This window comes from Homo sapiens, chromosome 12, assembly GCF_000001405.40.
Source record: "Homo sapiens chromosome 12, GRCh38.p14 Primary Assembly".
Classification (NCBI taxonomy): domain Eukaryota; kingdom Metazoa; phylum Chordata; class Mammalia; order Primates; family Hominidae; genus Homo; species Homo sapiens.
This window is the reverse complement of record NC_000012.12, coordinates 104,515,053-104,536,727: the sequence shown is the minus strand read 5'-3', so window position 1 is coordinate 104,536,727 and position 21,675 is coordinate 104,515,053. Positions and strand designations below refer to the sequence as shown.

Sequence of the window (21,675 nt, the reverse complement as noted above, 5' to 3'; positions counted from 1 at the left end):
CTGTGCCAAGTGTTTTATAAACATTCTCTTAAAAGCCCTGTGAGGTTGCTGTTGGTATCTCCACTTTATAGAAGAGAAAAGCAAGGCAGAGCAATGAAAAGACAGGCAGAGCCAAGCTGAGCACAGTTCTGATCCGATCCAAAAATCCAGACTCCTCCCGATCAAAGGAAGAGAATGAGACATGCTACCATGGGCTGCTGTGGATGACGTGGAAGAACAATGAAGCAAAGGCATGCAAAATTTACACAAGTACATCATATGGACAAGTGAGGCCTGAGATTCTGCACTGCTAACATCTAACAACTGTGGTGCTGATACTGCTGGTCCTATGACCACACATTGAGTAGGAAGTCTTTACCAAGCAATGATGGGCATCGACTCATGGGCAGTTCTATATGAAGAAGAGGTTGGCCTCATTAGACTTAAATACTGAGTCTATGACATAAACACCAGACTTAAAGTAAATTAAGTGGTCATAGTTTGTCTTGAAAGGGTTTGAGCAAATACTATTTCTCATGAGCTCCAAGGCATCATTTCTCAGCCTTTACGAGCCCTCATCCCGAAGATACTTTCCCAGTCCATCATTTTCACGTCCCTGCCAGGCAAGAAGACTTGTCCTGCTTTGCTGTCTGTATTTTTGTATGGAAAAAACCAGCAAAGTGAATTGATATGTTTTATCAAATTACAGTCTCACCCTCATTTCTAATGCATATCCCCTCTGTATGTTGCTGATGCACCATTGAAAACAGCTGAACTAACAGATGTCCTAGAGGAAAGTAAATGTTATATAATAAAAAGGATTGTTCTTCACAATCCACTGTATATGGGACTCTAGAATGAATCTGCTTTTTATCACATTGAATCCAGAGTTATGATCTCTTTCATATGTCTATGCATAAATACATGTATAAATTAAATCTTCTATACTGCCACAAATGAATACATGATACTGTTTAGGAAATAATGCCCTGGTTTATAACTCCGAGGTTAGCTCTGGTTAAATGAATGTCATCACAAACAAATACTGCAATGTACTTTCCCACCCATTCCGCCCTCCCCTTCTGCTCGGTGTACCCATATGGATTCAATTTTAGCAGACACTGAGCCACCCTGGCAATGGGAGAGGAGAAGATATTTGCAAATACCTCTATTCCACAATGTAAGGTTTATGTTCCTTGAGGTAAGCAACATTCCACATTGCCTGTGGAATGCAGCATGGTCAAAGAGAGTCAGTGTGAGATCTGGCCCTGAGGTCTAAGAACCTCATTGGGATGCACATATTAGAACTCCCAGACATTAAGACCAGATTATTCTAAAACAGTTTGCAGTTAAAACCCAGTGCATGGCAGCCCATGAGGCACTAAGGACAGACACTCCGCTGAAAGGTCCCCAAAACAAGCTACCATCTGAACAGGAAGACAGCGTCAGACCTCAATGTCTCAGACTTGACCTACCATTCCCATTCCTTCCACCCTGAAATCCAGGAGGACGAGGGCATCTCTATGAGAATATCAAGGACGGAGTCCCTACACCATAACTCAGCTCACAGACTCCAAAGGGCAGGTGAGGCCTAGGGAAGGAGGATCAGAAGGCATAAGTACAATCTTTTCAGATTTACAAGTTTTCTTACAACATGAAGAAACAGCTCCACAAGGAGTGATTTTATAACCCCATATGATGTCATCTTCTAGCCAGAATCTTTGCCACAGGGGTTTCACAGAAATATAAATGTGTCAGGCTTTACCATAATTAGCTACTTTTTAAAAAATGTATAATTCACATCTTAAATTGCCTAATGGAGATGGGGTTGGTATAGCTAATCAGAAACTTGGCTTCTGCGAAGAAAGAATAATTGAGCTTCTTAATAAGATGAAATAAAAAGATTTCTAGCCCTTACATTCTGGTGCTTAATAAATCAGTATGCAAATGAAAATAATCAAAACAAAAGCTCCCAAGAAATCAGCCTACACATGCATTATGCTCTTCAGTCTGGCCGTCTGGAGATTAGCAGAGCTTCAAGGCCAGGCACCACTCACACCAGAAACCATGCAGCACCGATACAGGATTACATGATGAATCCTTCCTTCCTGGGAGGAAACATTAAAGAGGACAGTGGCCTCTCCTGCCCTCTCAGTGGGATCAACTGAAATCCATCCACCTGGCAACCTTCAGGTATGTGTTTGTAATGTGATAAGAACGAATTCAAAAGTCACTAAGCAAAAAGTTCATTGAAATCGAAATCACTAAATGGGAACCGTGAGCAGCAAGTGACTAACCGCAACTTGGAAAAATATTGCTGGGAAATTGTCCTTGCTCTATTTGCCCGGTTCTGAGGGAAGAAGGAGGAAGAGGCTAAGTCGTGAGAATTGCTAGAGAAACCACAGACGGTTTCAGGGTCAAGGTCTTCATTTGTGGCCCATATCACACTGTCAAAGAAAATGGAAATGAGGGGTAGAGTCCTTGATATTCATTCTGTCACTCTCCTTCCTTAGTCAAAGCAATATTCTGAACTAAGAAACCAAATTTATCGCTGAAATATGTCATTTTGCTAAATACATTTATTTATTCATAAAACTTTATATCACTATTACACTGACAATGTTGAAGGAAAAAAAGAACTGTTATTTCAACATGAACCTTGCCAAAGGCTTAAGAAAACCACATTTTAGTTTTCCCTTTCTCTATTAAAAAATGCATCTCTACTAACCCAAGATCTCTCTTTCATTATAAGTAACTTTAATTTCATTGAAAGGATTTGGGGATGGGGGTAAATTTTAGTTTCATTCTAAATAAATGCCTTCAATTTCCCAGCCTCGGCCCAATCCAACGGAAATTTTTGTAACGGGACATGAGCTACAGCCAAAAAGACTTATCCAGAAAAGCTGCCTGTCTCTGTCTCTCTGAACATCCATTGGCTGAGGCCATTTCACAGTGCCTTCTTTTCATTGCTTATTGATTGGCACTTGCAACCAGCTCCTACGTTTCCACTGTCCCCGACAAGTGATAATGATCCATGAACCATCTAAGACTCCAAGTGTCTTCTGGGAGCACAGTTTGGAAGAAAATGTGCTCAGAAGAATCATTATCACGCGGAGAATCCTTCCACTCATTTATTTATTGATTTATTTATTCATTTTTTTAGTTGTCAAGTCCAGGTTAAGGGGAGATGGCAGGAAACAAAAGAACCATCAAAATAAGCCTTGAAAAGTCTCCATTTTAGTAATCATCCCTACTTCATACATTTCACCTGGTCATATTTTCAGGCTCAGAGGAAATTAAACTTATAAGTTCTTCCCCAGGTGCTTCACAAAATGCCAGTGTTTTCAGGTTTGATGCCAGCAACCAAGATAAAGCATGGCCAAGTACAAAACCACAAAGGAATCCATGACGCTGGGAACACCTGATCATGTTTACGAGTTCATTACACTTCTTCCTATTCTTTCCAACCCAGGGCTCCCTGGCTTCCTCAAGTCTTGGTCAGGAATCCAAAGGGATGATAATCAAGTATACAACTAACTATAGCATGATGTGATGAGTACAGTCATGGAGGTGGGTTCAAAATACCATGGAAATTTATAAAACAGAGTGATGGAATCTGTTGAGGGTATAGGGGTTTGAGTAATTGGGAGCTCATCAAGAAAAGAGATTTGGAAGCAAGACATGGTGGTGCGTGCCTGTAGCCCCAGCTACTCAGGAGGCTGAGGCAGGAGGTTTGCTTGAGCCCAGGAGTTCAAGACCAGCCTGGGCAACATAGCGAGAACCTATCTCTAAAAGGAAATAAAAAGAAAAAAGATTTGGCAGTGACACACAACAGCACTTAAACAGGGTTGCATGAGAGGGAAGTCCCTCATAGCATGAGACCATCCAGAGGGTTATGGTGGGTGTGGGGGCCACTGTCTGGGGTGGGGAGGGGAACTGTAGGGGATGATGTAGCTCAGGAGCATTGTAGGATCATTGGGACAGTGAGCAGTCTTAGGTCTTATAACCATAAGGCTCTGTCTCATCAATGGCTGGCACACGGTGGGTATAGTTCTGTGGGGTATGCAAAGTAGGCAGGCCCTGAATGGCTAGAAATCTGCTTGTTTTGGCTATTTTTAAAACAAATGGATGTGTAAAAATTTGAGGTTGGGAAGGGGTGTAGAGAGCTTCTGAGCTGGTGAACACACAGGTGGTGGGAGGATGGCATGCCTGGAGAGGGCATGGACGCTCTGCACCCCTCCCGCACCTTGCCCTATGTACCTCTGCATCGGACTGTTCCTTGGTATTCTTTGTAATAAACTCATAAATATTTTAAAAATTGAGTTTGGAACCTACAGGTTTTTGAGACTGTTAGGTGCAGTCTGTTGTGAAGAAACAACCTAGGAACCAATACACCGTCTTTGGCTCATTCTTATAACGGGGTGGGGGTGGGAATCATCACAAAAGGGCTGTGAACTAGACCTTGGAGTGAAACTTTGCCAGTCAAAAGGGAGAGGGAAGGCACTCCAGGCAGAGAGGACAGCAAACATGAAGGTTCAGACACCATGACATGGGCAACTTCAAGTCATGCTGTTGATGGCAACAAGACAGGGACATGAAAGCCGATTCGTGGGGCTGGAAGCCAGGGTGTGAGGGAAAGAGACGGTGGGAGAAGAGGATAGACAGAGATGAGACCAACACATGATGTGGGGATTAAGAGCACCAGTTTTGGAGTGCAGCTGCCCAGAGCCCAATCCTGGTTTCATTGCTTTTTAGCAGGAGCCACTGGGCAAGTGACTTAATCCCTCTAGCCTCCATTTCCTTCACTGTAAAAAAGATTTACAAACAATGCCTACCATGATGCCAGATATTCTGACTGTTAGCAAACAACCATAGTCATGGTCTGGTCTTGGATCCCATGCCAAGGAAGGGTGTATGCCATTGACAGTAATGGGAAGAAGGTACTATGTGTAACAGAGAGAGTGACTGGGCCAGATCAGTGCTGGGAGAACATGCACAGGATGGAGAAGAGGCAGGAGGCAAGGAAACCAGAAGACTACTGCACCAGTCCTAGCAAGGGATACTATGGGCCTGAATTAGAACAGTAACACAAGGGAAGAAATGAATGAGAGGAATTCCCAAGAGAGATCTCAGGGAGAACCCACAGGGACTGAAAAGAAGAAAGAATGAGGGAAAGAAAAAATAAATCAACAATGACTTCAATCTTTCTTTGCAGGATTTTCCCATCCTTTGTATCCATGTCACTTAATCTTTCTCTCTCTCTCTCTCTTTTTTTTTTTTTTTGGACACAGGATCTCCCTCTGTTGCCACAATCATAGCTCACTGCAGCCTCAACCTCCTGGGCTCAAGCGATCCTCTTGCCTCTCAAGTACCTGGGAGTACCGGCATGGACCACAACACCTGGCTAATTTTTTACATTTTTTGTAAAGGCAAGGTCCCACTATGTTGCCCAGGCTGGTCTCAAACTCCTGGCCTCACTGACCCTCTCACCTCAGCCTCCCAAAGTGTTGGGATTACAGGCATGAGCCACCATGCCCACCCACCACATCGCCTAATCTTTAAAGACAAATACCATGGTAGAAAGAAGGAAGACCATCATCTTTGAGCGATTCTTCTCCTAGGAGAAAAAAAATGTCACTTTCTGATACAGTATTTTAGAAAGGAGAAGGGAAGAGATGAAGGTAAGTGTGGCTGATGGAAAACATGAAAGCTGGCTACAGCTCCACTAAATTAGCCTCACTGGGATTTATACTGACAGAGTGGCATCCGGCTTCCCCAACACCTTAATGAGCCTTAAATCCACGTGAAATTTCAATGAACCATCTCTATCCTGAAAAGCTCCTGCGAAACATCTAAATCATGAATCAGGGTCTACAGCACGAATCCATTTATATACTCAAAGTGCTTCTGAACCAAAAGAAACTTGGCTTCCACCACCTTCTTAAGGCCACAGATTTTGAACTTATCATATTTTGGAAACCCCAAAGGTGAGTCAGGAGGCTGGATATCCAGGCTGAAGCTTTGAGAAGAATTCCATGGAGATTCAAGACATCTTCAGTGGAAGTTCACAAAAGTGAGTGGAAAGAATACAACAAAATGAAGCAAGTGCTTAACCTACATTTCAAGATAGCTAGACTTTTTTCTTCCTTCCGTCACCTTTTCCTGTAGTATGTCAATGAAGCTGCCAAGTAGATTGCTAAGACTTTATGCTCTAGTCTCCCTAAACTGTCAATGTCCTCACCAGCTTTAAGATCCATTTTCATCACACAGGAGCTTATTGTAGGACTCTAGTTACATTGCCAGCCTCTGGGTATAAAAAGGTCTCAAGACAGGGACAGAGGCAAATCATGCAATAGAACAAAGCACAAGCTAACATGGGCTAAAATGGAGAATAAGGGGATCAAATAAGAAGTGAGGACGTGGAGGAATTTATAGGCTAAGACCAGAAATGATGATGATCATGATGATTATAATGATGGTGGTGGTGGTGGTAGTGATAACTAACATTTATTGAGCATTTAACTCTTGGATAGATACTGCAAGTTGTCCCCAGTATCCCACCTCTCTTTCTTATACAGTAATAGTGCTTTGAGACAGAGTCTCACTCTGTCTCCCAGGCTCAACTATAATGGCGCAATCTCGGCTCACAGCAACCTCCACCTCCCGGTTTCAAGAGATTCTTGTGCCTCAGCCTCCCAATTGGCTGGGATTACAGGCTTGTGCCACCATGCCTAGCTAATTTTTTGTATTTTTAGTAGAGATGAGGTTTCACTATGTTGGCCAGGCTGGTCTTGAACTCCTGTCTTCAAGTGATCCGCCCACCTCAGCCTCCCAAAGTGTTGGGATTACAGGCATGAGCCACCGCACCCAGCCTGTAATCATGCTTTTTAGTTGGGCATCCAGCTAAAGACTACAATTTCCCTGCCTCACTTGTGAATAATGTGATCACATGATTGAGCTTTGGCCAGTGAGATGAGACAGTGTTGTGAGTAACTTTTCGGTCATGTTGTTAAGGGAAAGAGCCATGCCTTCCATATCCCCTTTTCCCTTACTGGCTGGAATGCAGAAATGATGGCAGGAACTGAAGCAGCCACCTTGGACCAGGAGATGAAAGGCATACATTGAAGATGGCAAAACAACAAGCTATAGAAGGCTGGGTCTCTGATCATTGTGGAACCTGCAGAACCAGTCCTAGGCCGTCTACCCTGACCATGTATCACGGAGAAATCAATTTACATCTTTTTAAAGTCATCATTATTTGGGGCCTCTCTGTCAAAGCAGCTGAATTGATAAAACAAGTACTGGGCTACATACTTTACATGCATGATCTTATTTAATCCACACACAGCCCTATAAAAGAACAAAGAGAGTCAAGCCACTTGTCTGAGCTCTCAAAGTAAGTGGCAGGGCCAGGGATGGAAAAAGGCAGCCAGATTCCAGAGATTAGAATACAATGTCTCCCTGTCACACAACAAGTTGACCTAAACCAAGGAAGGAATCTAATAACCCCCAGAAATGTATGCCAGACCTAACAATCTCTCCAGCAAAGAGTAAGTAGGCACAACTCCTTAGTTACTCTGGTCTCCAGGTGCTCAATTTGCCCTCATCTCCTTCCCCAGCCTCAGGGAAGCTCAGGCAGAGACTTGTCCACCTCTCTATTTAAATTTCATTTCCTCCACAGGGTCTGCCTGAGCACTAAGGTAAAATGAGAAAGCTGTGGACACAGCTATTTCCTGATGGCAGCCAGCTCTCTCTACACTAGACTGAGGTCCTACTTGCCCAGCGGTGTGTTTACTGAATTTCTACATTTCTTTATTCTTCTCACCTCCCTTCCAAAAGGTAAGGTTGCCCTCAGTGGATTCAGTGGTATGGCACAACTCAGAAAGAATTGCAAAGTCAGTCCTGGGGACACTGCAGCACAAGGAAATACTGTCAAGTACATTGGATCGAAAATGGCCAGGTCATCCCTCTTCTTTCCCAGGGTTTTAAAATGAAAAATAACTAAAAGCCTTGATAGCACCTAGAGCAAAAAGTGAATTTAAAATTCTCTCTATCTGAACACCAAAGGAAAAACAGCACAGTCTAGTGCACTCACTAGCTCTTCTTATAACCTGACAACATCTTGGAAAACTCCTCCAGGTCTCTTTTTCCATATCTAAAGAGTGGCAGGTGGAAGAACAGCACTGGCCACCCAGTCCCCAAGCTGCAGGGGGACCCAGTGAACTCATGATGGTTCTACTGAACAGAGTTGTCACTGAACAATTTCTTCCTACGTTTGCAAATGAAGAGTGAGTTAAAGGAGGTTTCATTTGCTCGCCAGTTTCATTGAAATTTACTATGTGATTGAGCACCTGAAGAAAAATCACTTTGGAGTGTCAAGCCCTGCCAGAAATGATCTGGAGGCAAAGAAGCCTTTAGCTTTTGAATCTTCTTGCTCACAGCTGGGCTATGCCATCTCCCAGATAAAGCTGGCTCAAATTTACTTGAAAATACGCTTACCTGAAAGGATGTTGTGACAGTTAGGTGAGGCACATGCTTGTTTGGTGTATAGAACGTGCTCAGTAAATACTAGCTAAAATTACTAGTGTTATCACGGACATAACCATCATCATCTGGGACATACCTGTATGAAGCTATTAACACCCTGTGAAAAATCAAGGTTTATCATCTGATATGGTTTGGCTCTGTGTCCCCACCCAAATCTCATCTCCACTTGTAGTCCCCACGTGTCAAGGGAGGAACCTGGTGGGAGGTGACTGGATCATGGGGGTGGTTTCCCCCATACTGTTCTCGTGATACTGAGTGAATTCTCATGAGATCTGATGGTTGTAAAGTGTGGTACTTCCTCCCTTACTCTCTCTCCTGCTGCCATGTAAGACGTGCCTTGCTTCCCTTTCACCTTCCGCCATGATTGTAAGTTTCCTGAGCTCTCCCAGCCATGCAGAACTGTGAATCAATTAAACCTCTTTTCTTTATAAATTACACAGTCTGAGGTAGTTCTTTACAGCAGTGTGGAAACAGACTAATACATCATCTTTTCTAATAGAGCACTAAGTTGGGCATAGCGGGTAGCTTCCTAAGGAAACAAAACAATAAAGTGTAAGTCTTAACTAATTCAATAAACACTGATTAACTACCAGGCTCAGAGCTAGGTGCTGTCTCTGCCCTCAAGGTTCTCAGAAGAGTATAGAAGATCCACGTCGGTGGGGAGGGGAGGGAGACAGAGAGAAGGATGGTCTCAGAGGGCCTCACGCAGAGCAGGTAGCCTAGAACTGAGTCATAAAGGATCTGTAGTTTCTCAGGCAAGAGAAGAGAGCTCTGCCCAAGGTCAGAAAGGCAGACAGCAGCCAGAGACAAAAGACCTCCTGTGACACTCCATGAGGTTGGAAATATACCCCATCGGTCAAGGTAGCCATGTGTATTAATCCACTCAGGCTGCCAAAATAAAGTACCACAGACTGGGTGGCCTAAACAACAAAGTTATTTTCTCACAGTTCTGGAGGCTGGAAGATAAGGTGTTGGCAGGTCAGGTCTGGTTTCTGTGCCCATCAGTCAGACTGGATTAGTATCCACCCTAATGACCCCATTTTACCTTAATCACCTTTTTAAAGGCCCTATTTATCTCTGAATACAGTCACATTCTGAGGCATTGGGGGTTAGGAATTTGTGGGGAGACACAATTCAACCCGTTACACCATGAAAGGACTGGCAAGAGGAGAGCCATTTTAGAAAGAGTGCCGTGTGGTGCTGAGGAGAATGGAATTTGGGAGGGGAGGCTAGAGGCAGTCAGGCCGCTGAGGACCCAGGGAGGAGAACACGGAGGCCTTGCCAACCCGGGAGAAAAGAGGACAAGGTATGGGCCATCTTGCTCAAGACTCAACCCCTTATTATTCACCGCAAATCCCTGCCATCCCCTGTGGGGAGGAGTCCACTTATCTGTGTGGGTTCTCAAAGCAACCCTTCCCTGGCTGGGCCTGATCACCCACTCCCAAAACCTGCCAGGGTTCTCGGAACCCCCAGAAGCTAAACATTTCTACCTGAGGAGCACAAATAAAAACAAGACTTGCAGTGGGTTGAGAACACGAGTCCAGGGCCTGAGAATCAACTCTTCAGAGTGGAAGAACTGGCGCTCTGGTGCCCCCACTGGCCCATCAAGCCCCCTCTAACAAGCACCCCTCACAAATAAAGCCCCAGCAGGAAGCCCATTAACACCTCACAGGGGCAAACCTCAGGCCCGGAGGAGAAACTTCAAAAGACATCCCAGCAGCACAACATGCCAGAAGGGCCATCAATCAAGAACACCATCCCAGGAAGTAGCCGGCTGAACTGGGGAAAAGAGTCAGGCACATAAATTAAATGTCCCTCAGCCCCTATATGGAGCTCAATTTATTGCAATAGAGGCCAACTGGGCTCCTTAAGTTTAAAAAGGATCAAGGCCTCTATAAACAGTATGTAGAACTACCTTCCATGGAACAAAAACACCAAGAGAAATTCTCCCTTCTTTTCTTTTTCTTTTCTTTTCTTTTTTTTTTTAAGAAAATGATCCATTTGTGAAAATAATTCCCACAACACTGAACTCTTTGCCTCAAGTGTTATATAAAAGTCAACTCACTGGTCAACAAGAAAAAAAGTCAGATACAACTACCAATCAGCCTTTCTGATTTGTTGAAATTAATTTCAGAATTGGATTTTCTAAGTGGGGTCGTCTGCCGAAAAGACATGCTAAAAACCTAAAATCTAATTCGTGTTAAAATTAGCTGAAAATCTGAAGCATTGTTTATAGGCTTGACGCTCTTTCTTCTCCCACCCCCACCCCAACACATACAAACGTTTCCCACCAATCCTTGAACTGCAAAAAACAGCTTGGTAAAAATCGGCATCATAGCAAAGATGCAAATAAGGGCTATGTGAGAAACCTTACGATTTCTCAGGAGATTGTTAGTTGTGTAATACCAAAAGGCATCACATATCTTATTTCCACAGAAACCCTCCAATGACCAATATTTGGTTTTCCTTTTTTTGTTAACTATCTAATCTCTTTGCCCTTAAAAATAATCAAAATAGCACTTACTATATCCCAGGCCTGTGTTGAGTACTTTGCAAATCTTTACTCTCGCTTCATTCTAATACCAGTTCTCTCAGGTAAATACTGTTGTTATTCCCATTTTATAAAGAGGAAAGCTGAGGCTCAGGGAGATTAAGTAATTTGCCCCAAGTCACACAGGTAGAGAACAGCAAAATGGAAATCCAAACCCAGGTTTGTCAGACCTAAATCCTGTGCTCTTAATCATGAATTTTAATGGCCTGTCCTCATGCTAATTCAAAAGATGATGGAATCCTCTTCTTCTCAACTGGCCTTTCAGTAAAATACATTTAGAAAGTGTTTGCCATTTAAACTTATGGTTCAAAAAGTAATTCTGAAGAGTATACACTATGAGGTTTAAAAATATCTCTTAAGAATTAGGAGCAGTGGCTCATGCTTGTAATCCCAGCACTTTGGCAGGCTGAGGCAGGAGGACTGCTTGAGGCCACAAGTTCTAGGATCACTTGAACCCAGGAGTTGAAGGCTGCTGTGAACTATGATCATGATACTGCATTCCAGCCTATGTAACTGAGACTGTCTCTTAAAAAAAAAAAAAAAAGAAAGAAAAAAGGAAAGAATTCCATTGGATACCTTAATAAATTACAGTCATAAGATTTGATCTTTTTTCTGGATTGTCATTTCTTCCCTCTTTTTCTGTTTAAAACTACAAGCACTTACACTATGCCGAGTTATGCAAATCATGAAATCCAACTCTAGAACTTGAGTTTATAAAAACAAATGAAAGTGTTACAATGGTTGCATGCTTTGCTCTGTTCACAGAGATGAGAACCAAAACAAAATAAAAATAGGTATGTGTCAAGGAAGAATTTGACTTAAAATTTAGGAAAACATCCTGTACCGCAGACTGTAGGCTCCTTGAGGTCAGAGATCCTGTCTTATTTGACTTTTCATCCCCAAAACCCAGGACAGAACTGGCACCCAGTAGGTGCTTGATAACCATTTGCCAAAATGGAGGATGGATGGATGGATGGGTGGATGGATGGATGGATGGATGGGTGGATGAATGGATGGACGGACGGATGGATGAGTGGATGGGTAGAAGAGTAGGTGAGTGGATGGATGAATGGAAGGAGGGATGGAAAATGGATGGTAAGGTGGATAAGTAGATGAATGGATGGATGGAAGGATGCTTATACCAATGGTTAAATACTGAAATTCTCTGTCAAGAACTCATTCCCTATACGTGTCTATGTCTGTTTTCTGGCTGGATATATATTTTTAAACAGTCCATCCTGGATTAGGACAAATGAATGAACTAGCTGCAAAGCCCACTAGCTCTCTGACTAAGGGTCAAATGCAGGCCACTACTGAACTATCGCCTTCCCAAGGAGAGGCAAACAAATGCTAGCAACTGTACACTCCATAATTGCCCATTTAACAAACACATGGTGAATGCAAATAATTTTTCTGGAAGGCTGCCCTATCTGTTGGCACCAAAACCTATTTATAATCCTCTCCATGTGTCCTTCCTATTCTCGAGTCACTGTGGTGGGAAGCAACATTTATTCGCAAGAAAAATACTTTGGGTCAGTAACTAATCCAGAAAACAAGTCTTGCTGCAGCACTATATGACTCCAATTGAGAGGCAAAAAAAAAAAAAAAAAAGAAAGAAAGAAAACAAAAATATCTGGCTTTCCTGAACACTGCAGCTTTGAGGTTGCAGATCAGAGCTTCTGTCTTTCACCCCAGAAAACACAGGGAGATAGGGACTTCTAAAGACAAGCTATGTGGATAGGGTGAGGTGAAACCCATGTGAAATTCCAGAAAACCCTTCCTCAAAGTGCCTAGGCACTGCAGGGTTCCCAGAAGACTAAAAAGCAGAAAGAAAACTTATAAACAAATAATTTTCCATGTTTAACACAGAGAGAGATAACAGGTAAACAACCAGCAAAAATGCTGAGTAAATGCCAGTGTTCTAACAAGCAACAAAATATTCCTTTTACAGTAAGGGTGAGGCTGCTCTGCGGTTTTACAAAAGCATTTTTACATAAAATATTATTTCACTTGAGAAAGCTAAGGAAAGGAATGTGAGCACTCCATTTCACAAATAAGGGAACCAAGGCTCACTCTCTAAGGTTCAATGACTTGCTGAAGGTCACAGAATCAGGAAGTGGAAATGGACAGATTTCCTGATTTGGGGTTTTTTTCATCTTTCTCTGATATATTTCTCTTTGCTCAACAAAAACATCTGAGGCCACACGTTGAGTGCCAGGTTATACCCAGGTAGATTCCAAGCTGGGAACAGATCCCATCTATATGACACTTCCAGATGGGATTTAAGGATTGGAGCCAGAATTCAAGTTGGCTTCCCTCACTCCAAAGCATGTGGGTCCTCCAGGAAGCGAAAAGAATTCTCCCAGTATTAAGCCAGCCAGAGGAGGAGGGACAGAGACAGAGACAAGAAACCCCACCCACACATCTGGAAACAGATAGGAAACTCAATGTGGACTCTCACCACTCCATCTTAAAGCCATCTCAGAGATAAGTTTCTGCATCTGAAGGCAAACCCTATGGTGGCCTGAACAGATATAATCTGGTTGTCTTTAGTACTATGAAGATTGCCTTTTTAAGAAGCAAATTCTCCATTTCTAATTAGTCAAGCATCACAGCTTCTCTTATTAGACGATTATTTTTAAATTGTCCCCCTTTCCTACCCCACCTATCCCAACAAACTTGCTGTGAACAGAGCCCAAATCAAGCATGAAAAAATGATCAGATTGAAATCCTCAAGTCTCTATACCATACCACCATTTTGCCTTTATCAAGGATGATGAGAAAAAATAAAACCCATCCTACAGAGGTCCCCAAATGTGGCTGAGGATTCAAAATAGCACAGGGGGAGCCTTTCAGAATGATGCGATAGGACCAGGCGCAGTGATTCACACCAGTAATTCCAGCACTTTAGGAGGCTGAGGCAGGAGGATTGCCTGAGGCCAGGAGTTCAAGACCAGCCCAAGCAACATAGCAAGACCAGCCCTCCACCCGCCACGTCTACAAAAATATTGAAAAAAAATAGAAAAATAAAATAAAATGATGGAACATAGGGCCCATCTCCAGAGATTCGGATGAGTGAGTGGTCTGGGGGAACCCTGGTATCTGATGCTCATGCTGGGATTATTTTAAAGTACACCAGGTAATTCTGATGATCAAGCCTGCCTGAGAACCCTACACCAATACACGTAAATACATCTACATCAGGCAAAAGGCTGTCTTGAAAGCTCGGACCTCCACATGAAGACCCACTAAATGCCAAACACGAAGTGAGGTGTATCCTACACACCATACAATCTCATGTAATCCTTACAACATCTGCAAGGGTGGCACACTGATGCCCATTTTACAGATTAAAAATAACACGGCTCAGTGAGATATACTGATACTCCCAAGTTTATGCAGCTAAGGATGTTTGAATTTCTAGGCTTTCCCAGGAAGTTCGCTCTGTGCTCCTAAATTGTGTGGAAAAATCCCCTTCTGAGAAAAAGAGCCAAAGCAAATACTAGAATACAGAGATAAATGTATTGGAGAAGCCAGTGCCGGCATAAGGAATTTCTTGATTTAATTTCACATTATTGATTAATATAACTGGGAAAGAAATGCTAGTGGAAACAGACATCCCAATTTTATAAGCTCCAGGAGAGTCGAATTTTCCGGGCACAGAGAGGGTGATAAGATCCTGTCTGAGATTTCACCACCAAGCAGGAACTAGGCCAAACAATTTCATTAGCCTGTAGTTCAGCCTGCCCCAGCCTGGGTGACCCATTCAGCAGCCATGAGCGGGGATAAAGGCAGAAAATGCCCACTGGCAGGGAAACAAGATACGACTCACCAGGCTGGGGACAGAAGAGGCCCATTTCAATCAAACAGTGGAGTAGACTCAAATCAACTTTTCCTCAGTGGGCATAGAATCAAAGAATCACTGTGGGATCCCCAGAGGACAGAGTGAAGTACTTTGACACCGTTACGCAGGACACCTCCATCCAGCCCTCATTCTCTTAGCAGGATACCATTTCTTCCCAGGATGTGTTGGGGCAGAAGCTAGATGCAGTCACCTTCCTGGAATTAGGTCTGAGCTAAGCGTCAGGAGAGCTAGCTCTCTATGACCACCTCACTCACTCAGTGTATTCTTGGGCAAGTCATTTCACTTTGGGCCCGAGTTTATAAAATAAAGACGTAAAACGACATCATCTTTGAATTCCTTGCCATCTCTGACAGTATACGAAACCAAGATCCACAGTCACAACCAGGCTGACCAGACAAAAGTCTGCAGGGGGATTTAATCCCAAAACGCGGACCACAAAGAAGGGAGAAAAACCAACCTGCATGTAATCATATTCACCCAGGCTCACCTGTTGCGGATATGCATTGCAGAAAAGCATGCAGATAAGGAGAAAATAGTTATATGGGAAGGGAAAAGGTGGAGGCCCAGAGAAGAAGAATGTTCACCTTAAAGGTCCCACCAGGGTAGACTCGAATACAATGGCAAATCTCTGAACCTTCCTTTGGATCTCCAAGTCATTCATCTACAAATATGTATTGAGCAACTTCACTGGGAGACAGGATACTGAGATCAACTATTATCCTTATCCTTATTATGATTACTATTTAATTAGGGCAGCTGGGGAAAAAAAGACATGTCTAATTAAGTGCTCAGATTCTCTAAATAGATTTTTTAAATCCACCATTAAGATTCAGAATATGTTCTATTCTTTCCCACCGGACTCACGTATTCCAAAGGAATATCAGACAGTCACCTTTAAAACAAATGGACCACAAGCCTCCAGGGTCAGAGAACAGAAGGGGTGGCTGCACACGCCACTGGCTGCAGACTGTCTGACTTCCTGAGCAGATACAAGCAAAGGCCAAGTGCCCTCAAGGGAATTCAAAAGCCCCTGCCATCCCCGCTCCCATGCTGTGAGCCTGGGACAGATTTAGCCTCCAGCCACAGAACACTTCACTGCACCAGCTTGATGCTCAGGGCTTATCCTGAACATGGCTAGGATCATGCCCCAGGAAGAAGATCCTATGAGTGAACAAAATTACGCCATCCTAAGAATCCCCTTCAAGAAGTGCTTTGCAATTTCAGATGCTGGAACAATCTATCCTATAGCAGACTGAGAGGTTTGTTTTTTTTTGTTTTGTTTTGTTTAAAAAAAAAGGTTACACAAGTGGCTAAGTAGCAGCAGCAGTGGTGCTCCTCCTGACCACCACCCATGTACTAACCCGCCCTTCTTACACTAACAACTGCTGCTCCTACTTAGCAAACTAATCACTAACCATTAGTCCTACTGCCTCTCACTGAATGCACCCATGTCCATTCCTTTAGGCTTATAAAGCATTTACTTCTCCATTAGCTTATGTGGCATGTAAGATCCTGAGAGATGAGCAGAGCAGGTGCCATTGGGCCCATTGGACAGATAAAGAAACTAATGCTCAGTAGTTCAGAGACTGTCCTGAAGCCTCCCCAGCTGATGAGCAGTGAACTGGTTTTGCTGCCTCATCCCTTACTGCCTGTAGCATGGGTGTGCAGAAAGACAACAGACAACTTTGATCAGTTCCGACGCCAGCAACTAGGAATGAAGCTAAGACATAAGGAACATGGAGCTCCTGCACCCCGTTCCCTGATGGAGTCCCAGTCCCTTGCACAGCTGTGCCTCCTAAATTAAACACACGCACTCTCCATAAGTAGTTTCCTAGGAAAACCAGACTACTGTCCTTTAGGAACCAACCCTGCACCTGCAGAAAAGCCTTCAACAAAACCAACTGTGAAGGCTTTGCCGAAACAGTTCTCAGAACAGCTGTCCTGGTCCTGCCACAGCACAGGAAATCATCCCATCTTGGCAAACCCCACTCAACCATGTTTCCATGCTGCAGCCTTAGAGGAATGAAAATATCAATCTGAGCCAAGCAAATCTAACAGGCTATCATGCAAAATGCTGGTGTCAAATCAAGCCTCAACCAGTAATTATCCATCAAGCAGGGCCATAATAACCGGCTCCCTGGGGTCACTTCGCTGGGAGGCAGGGAGGTGGTTACTAAAGAGGGAGTTGGAATTGGACAAGTGACAGCCTTAAGAGAAAGGCGTTCATCTCACTTTTCTAGATTCTTCTACAGGTTAGGGGGTTCTACCCAACCCTCTAACCAAACCTATCCCCACTGAGGTCAAAACCCATCCTGTGGCTGCCTCGAGGCATTTATGATGACGCACTGGGGCAGATCTCCATCTATCATGCTGTGCCCTCCTTTAAGTTTAAAGGAAGTTGGCTTTAGCTAATGGTCTGAAAGGTGCTTCCTTTACCAACTGCTGTCATTAAACTAGCAAACTATTAATTTAAACTCTTATGGTAAGGGGGTTTCCTGGAAATTCCTTAAAGGAAGTCTGTAATTGACAGTGTGGTTAAACATCATACAGACAGCACAAAAATCCTAATCAAATACAATTAGTGCAGGCTCAAGTCCCCTTGTAGACCAATAGCACTTTTGTTCATAAGAAGTACTGTGCCATACCCCTGTTTAGGGTTGGGACTATTATGGAGAAAGAAACACACACACACACACACACACACACACACACACCTCAAGAGTCCAGGCCTAGGCCTCAAAGTTCATCATGACATTTGCTCCAACTCTATAATCCGACTGAAGAGAAGAAAGAGTTAAAAAAAAAAAAAAAGAAAGAAAAAAAGAAAAAGAAAAGATTTTAAGAAAAAAATGGTTTCTATTAAAATGCATAACACCATCTTTCAAAGATGAAAGGACTTAGTAGAAACACCATAAACCTCAGAATTACACAGTAAATTGCTTCTTTTGTTTAAGGCAAATTAATATTGGATCACAGATAAAAAATAAATCCTCCCAACATCCCCAGCTAAAGGATGCTATATTCATTATGCAGCTTGGAAGACTGCATGTTGACTATTTTGTAGAAAATGAATGAAGGGTTGGTTATAATCACCTTCCCACTCAAATCCTGTCTCATTACCTGAAGTGTTTTTCCTGCAAAGTGACACACAAATGATTTTCTAGTCTTCGCTTTCTTCTCATAAGCCACCATATGCAGGGCGAGGGAAAGTCCGGGGTGTATTAACTATGCCAGTGAATCTGCCCGGGGTCCTTCAAAGTGCTTCCCAGAACACGGTGCACAGACATCGTATTTGCCTAGGTCTTTATCAGAGTCCAACTGAATCTGGCACAAAGGCAACTGACAACCTCTGAATATCCCTTACCGAGCCCATATAATTAGTGAAGGAAATACAGCATGATAACATGTGTATCATCCGAATCTTCCCTCCTTCCTACTCACGCGCTCCTGTCATACTTGCTAACTCAAAGGTGGTCTTTATTTTTATGTTTATTTTTTTGAGACAGGGTCTCGCTCTCTCACCCAGGCTGAAGTGCAGTGGCACAATCATGGCTCACTGCAGTCTTGAACTCCTGGGCTCAAGCAATCCTCCCGCCTCAGCCTCCCACGTAGCGGGGACTACAGGCACGTGCCACTGCGCCTGGCTAATTTTTTTATTTTTTTGTCAAGTAAGGGTCTCACTATGTTGCCCAGGCTGGTCTTGAGCTCCTGGGCCAAGCTCCCACCTCAGCTTCCTAAAGTGCTGGGATTACAGGCGTGAGCCACCATTTCTGGACTCAAAGGTGGTCTTGACTCAGAGGCGGGAACTTCTCACTGCCAAAGCGACCTTAGATCCAAAGTTATCCAGTACGATCCTCAGTGGGAAAAGGCACTGACATGCAGTAGGTATTCAAAAAGTGTTAGACACTACACAAAGAAAAGGGACCAATTATAAAATGTCTGGCTTCATTTCGCCAAGCTCATCAGGAGTCAGCTTAAGGAACACCACATCCTTGTCATTCACCTCTATCACTCCGATTCCACATTCCCACAGAGATGAAATTCTTCCTGAGGTCAGGTTCCCAGGTCGCTTTTGAGGCAAAATTTCTCTTCTAAGAATTTGGTACAGCCTCTGAAGTAGGGTGAGGGTGATGGCATCTAGAACTAGGGACTTCAGTGTGGCCAGAGGACACCCACCTCCACATCATCACCCGGGAGCTGGTTACAAATGCAGGATCAGACCCCAGGCCAGGCCTATGGAATCACAACCTGCAACTTAACTCCAACCCCAGGGAATTCCACATGCATCTAAGTGTGAGAAGCTCTGGTGTACAAGTGATGATTGCAAACAGGGGTCTGGAAGCCCCTACACCACCCCCTGGTTCTCCAGACATTAAAATTGACAAGCTTCAGAAGGAAGAGGGCACTGATGACCATAAAATGAGGCTGTCAACAGCTTGCTGCTCCCCTGTGTAGACAGACCAGGATTAAATCGGCTTCAAGACACCCATCCAAGCGCGGGTGCAATAAAAGGCTCTGAGGATGGAGCCCAGGCGCTGAACTTTGGGGTGCAGTTTTAATTTCGCTGGACAATTCTTGGGCTTCTCTTACAGTGCACCCAAGATTTTACAGACAAAAAAGGCTGCAGAGATCAAATTCCAGCTTCCCCCAGTTACTTAACCACTCAGCCTGGGAATGTTACTAAACCTCTCAAGGCTCTTCCTTCATCTTTAAGTGGCAGTAACAGCTATGATGGAGAGGATTTGGAAGGGGGGAAAGAGAATGCATGAAGAGAGCTTAGAGCACATAAGAAGTGCTCAGTAAACATCAGTTATTGCCTTTTTACCATTCGTAACTCTAGAAGGAAGAACAAACAGGAACATTTTGCTCCATGATCAACTTAGGCATAGGATAGAAGGTAGAGTGGAGGAAATCAATCCAAATGAGCCCAACAGGGCACACAAATTCAAAAATACATTTCTGCTAGGCTCTCCTAATGTGCCCCTTCTGCTTGGTGCCCTGAGCTTCCGTTCCTCTTTACAGCAAGGCATGCCTTTAATTCAGCATGCCCAGTGGTGACTTAGGTATCAACTCATCCTAGGGGCTCCCCCAGGCAAAGAGGCCAATTTTCAATGGATGGCATGTTACCAGGGAGCCTCAGAGGAACACTATAAAAGCACCTCACTCTTTTATCTGTATGTCTCCCCTCCTGGAGTTCAGATGGGCCAAAAGCATGGACTCAGGGGCTCAGGCACTTTTCGTAAGCCTTAAGCCCTCCAATTCCAACCACGCCTAAAAGTGGATGGAGGAAATGATATCCACCTCATTGCTTCACATAAGGGATGATGACTAGCAAGAGAAAAAAAGGCAATGAAAAAATTGCAAAGATGACCATTTTAGTAGCTTGTATTTTAACACAAGGATCTGAGCCAATCACATAAATCGTATACTTCTCACCAGGATATGAACAGACACCGTGCTCTCTGCTGAAGAAAAGGTGAACAGGAGACAAAAAGAGTCAGGGTCTCTGCTCTCTCAACTAACATTTGCCCCAATTTTGCCCCTAGGGGACATATGACATTGTTTGGAGACATTTTTGGTTATCACAACAAGTATCTAGTGAGTAAAGGCCAGGAATGCTACTAAACTGCCTCCATTGCACAGGACAGCTTCCAGCAACAAAGATTTTGTTCAGCCCTAAATGTCAATACTGCCAAGGTTGAGCTTCAACTCTTATCTGCCTGGAACTCCTTCTCTTAACCACTGCACTACATGGTCTCCCTTCGTGTTTCCTATTGTTCTGAAGATAAAATAATTTTTTTAAAACAGGATCACATATCAGATTACCACAGCTCTGTAGCCAATGCTGAAATTAAAATACACACAAAAATGCTCTATGCACATTGCTCTCCTTTGACCATCTCCAATGCTTGCACCCCAAGGCTTTTGAACTTGCTTCGCCCTCTGCCTAAGCAGACTCCCCGCTGCCCCAGCCCCATCATGTAGGTTCAGGGCTCACACCCCACCTCCTTCACATCACCTATGGCCTTCTCAGTATGGCCTTTCCTAATAGTCCCCACTCTCTCCCCCTGCCCTTCCATATCATCCATCACCCTCAGGCGGGTCAGGAGTTTTTATTTGTGTATTATCTTACTCCTCCCCCTAGACTGTAAGCTCCAGGAGGGCAGGCATTTTCTCCTGTGTCACTGCATTTTCCTTACCACCCCTAACAGTGTCTGGCACACAGCAGGAACTCAAAGAATATTTGGTGAAACAATGAATGAATGAATGAATGAATGAAAAAACAAACTAGCTTTGATTTCTTCCTCAGAAATTTGAGAGCCTTAGCTTTCCCCAAGCTTTAACACCATCGGAGGGAAAGACCTCTGTGTAGAACGCGATTCACCTTGCTACAAGATGAACAATAACCACTGTCCTACATCAGGGGCTGGCACATTTTTTCCTGTAAAGGGCCAGATAAGTGCCTTCAGCTTCACAGGCCTATTCAGTCTCTGGAGCAACTATTCAACTCTGCCATTATCGCACAAAAGTGGCACAGAAAGTACGCCAACAAGGGAGCATGGCTGAGTTCCAGCGAAACTTTATTTAAGGACATTGAAATCTGAATTTCATAGACTTTTCATGTGTCAAGAAATATTGTTCTTCTTTTGATTTTTTTTTCCCAACCATTTTAAGATGTAAAAACAATTCTTAGCTCACAGGCTATACAAAAGCGGGAGACGGGCTAGATTCA

At 43.6% G+C, this 21,675-nt stretch overlaps 1 protein-coding gene across 4 annotated transcripts in view, besides 3 other annotated features; it reads right to left on the bottom strand.

The window, feature by feature from the left end:
• The window catches only part of CHST11 (carbohydrate sulfotransferase 11), a 305,067-nt gene that overhangs the window by 225,287 nt on the left and 58,105 nt on the right, over nt 1-21,675 (bottom strand). The window lies entirely within an intron of this gene.
• Nucleotides 9,347-9,937: an enhancer, noted in NCBI's record as "NANOG-H3K27ac hESC enhancer chr12:104920569-104921159 (GRCh37/hg19 assembly coordinates)". NCBI's record gives its function as "activates a minimal SCP1, AML or CMV promoter by ChIP-STARR-seq in naive H9 embryonic stem cells {active_cell/tissue: H9 hESC(naive)}" and the evidence as "EXISTENCE:reporter gene assay evidence [ECO:0000049][PMID:30033119]".
• Nucleotides 13,103-13,397: a silencer, noted in NCBI's record as "tiled region #14866; K562 Repressive non-DNase unmatched - State 6:EnhF". NCBI's record gives its function as "represses a minimal TATA promoter and a strong SV40 promoter by Sharpr-MPRA in K562 cells {active_cell/tissue: K562}" and the evidence as "EXISTENCE:reporter gene assay evidence [ECO:0000049][PMID:27701403]".
• Nucleotides 16,229-16,278: an enhancer, noted in NCBI's record as "active region_6921". NCBI's record gives its function as "activates an Ori minimal core promoter by ATAC-STARR-seq in GM12878 lymphoblastoid cells {active_cell/tissue: GM12878}" and the evidence as "EXISTENCE:reporter gene assay evidence [ECO:0000049][PMID:35858748]".